This window comes from Homo sapiens, chromosome 1, assembly GCF_000001405.40.
Source record: "Homo sapiens chromosome 1, GRCh38.p14 Primary Assembly".
Lineage (NCBI taxonomy): Eukaryota > Metazoa > Chordata > Mammalia > Primates > Hominidae > Homo > Homo sapiens.
The window spans coordinates 164,923,450-164,925,331 of record NC_000001.11 but is presented as its reverse complement, the minus strand read 5'-3'; the positions used below and the strand labels follow the sequence as shown (position 1 = coordinate 164,925,331).

General features: G+C 41.9%; 1 annotated feature.

Moving 5' to 3' along the window:
- Positions 683 to 1,882: an enhancer, noted in NCBI's record as "BRD4-independent group 4 enhancer chr1:164892687-164893886 (GRCh37/hg19 assembly coordinates)". NCBI's record gives its function as "activates an origin of replication core promoter dependent on BRD2, P300/CBP, MED14 and CDK7 cofactors, and independent of BRD4, by STARR-seq in HCT116 cells {active_cell/tissue: HCT116}" and the evidence as "EXISTENCE:reporter gene assay evidence [ECO:0000049][PMID:35650434]".

The following is a 1,882-nucleotide window of genomic DNA, read 5'->3' as shown; positions in this document are numbered from 1 at the left end:
AGTATGTAGTTTCCAGTTTTAATCATTTTCTCTTTCTTGATAACTTTCATAGGCTTTTACTTTTCTTGTCTCATATTTGATATGGTTTCTCAAAGATCTCGGCTCTTTAGTCCTGTCTGAAAGCTGTCTATTTACTAACAAGATGAGAACAAAGTCCTTTCATCTGCACCTAGGCACTAGGACTCCTGCAAAGAGCTGAGGTCTTTTCCTACCACTTCCACAGCTAATTTAGGCTGTAATTCCTTTCTGCTGTGAGGGTCTTATCTTTGAATAAAAATAGAAGTAAATGAAGAGTTAGAAATTGTCCTCCATCTTGGATAAAGTGTAAGCGGAGGTTCGGTAAATGCTGAATGCCCTGAAAAGTGCCCGTGCCACATAGAATTGGACCAGCAAAGTGCCCGTGCCACACAGAATTAGACCAGCGAGGCATGTTTCTCTCTGAGCATCAGTAGTAGTGCTTCATCAACCTCAGAACAGCCTGCATGGGAGAAAGTGCTCCTTAAGTTCTGATCTGCCATCCTTCCCGGAATATCTTGGTTCACAAAAGTGTGATTCAGATTTCATCTGAAATTTCACTTGTTCCTTAAAGAAGCAGAGGTAGAAAAAATTTCTAGATGTTTTTTGTTTAAAAATGCTGAACAATCTTGTTCAGGAAATACATTCTAGTATCTAAGCCTCAATTCATTATACTAGAGATTTTAGTTTATGGCTTCTTGTTCTTTCTTCAGTGAGTTGGAGGACATCTCACAAAAACTGACATTTACTCTTAGGTGATGAATATGCTTCCTATCAATGAAGGATAATGATGGGTTATCTACTGAATGGTAAGTAGGATACCAAACTACTGCGTGCCATGGACTGAATTGTGCCACTTCCAAATTCATACGCTGAAGCCCTAAGCCCCAGTGTGACTATATTTGGAGACTGAGATTTTAAGGAGATAATTAAGGTTAAATGAGGTCATAAAGTAGGGCCCTGATCTGATATTGATATCCTTATAAGAAGAGACACCAGGACGGGTGCAGTGGCTCACACCTGTAATCTCAGCACTTTGGGAGGCCGAGGTGGGTGGATCACTTGAGGTCAGGAGTTTGAGACCAGCCTGGCCAAAATGGTGAAATCCCTTCTCTACTAAGAATACAAAAACTAGCCAGGCATGGTGGCAGGCGCCTGTAATGCCAGCTACTCGGGAGGCTGAGGCAGGAGAATTGCTTGAACCCGGGAAGCGGAGATTGCAGTGAGCCGAGATCATGCCATTGCACTCCAGCCTGGGTGACAGCAAGACTCTGTTAAAAAAAAAAAGAAAGAAAGAAAGAAAAAAGAAAAAGACACCAGAGAGCTAATGCCTTCTCTTCTCCTCCTCCCCCTGCTCCTTGTCTTCCCCCTCCTTCTTCCCCTGCCCCTACCTTATGAAGACACAGCAGGAAGGTGAGCATCTGCAATCTAGGAAGAGAGCCCCCACCAGACACCCATCTTGCCGGGCCTTCATCTAAGACTTTCAGCCTCCAGAACCACAAGAAAATTAATTTCTGTTGTTTAAACTGGCATTTTATTACAACAATTTGAGCAGTTGTATATGCTATGAAAAGAGTATAGCCACTGGATAAGTGTTGTACTTACATTTTAAAGCTAACCAAAGTTAGGCTCTTGATTGTTGGTTGATCTTGGACAAGTGATTATCCTTTTATCATCCTTCTTCATATGTAAAACAGGGCTAACTTTATGAGGCCTGTCTCACAGGATTATTTTTTAGATTAAAAGAATAATGTGTGAAGCCAGTCGTTTTCATGCTTTGCTGCAAATTGGAATCACCAGAGGATCTTCTAGAAAATGCCGATGCTTGGCTCTCACCCCCAGTTATTGTGGATTAACTGGTATAGGG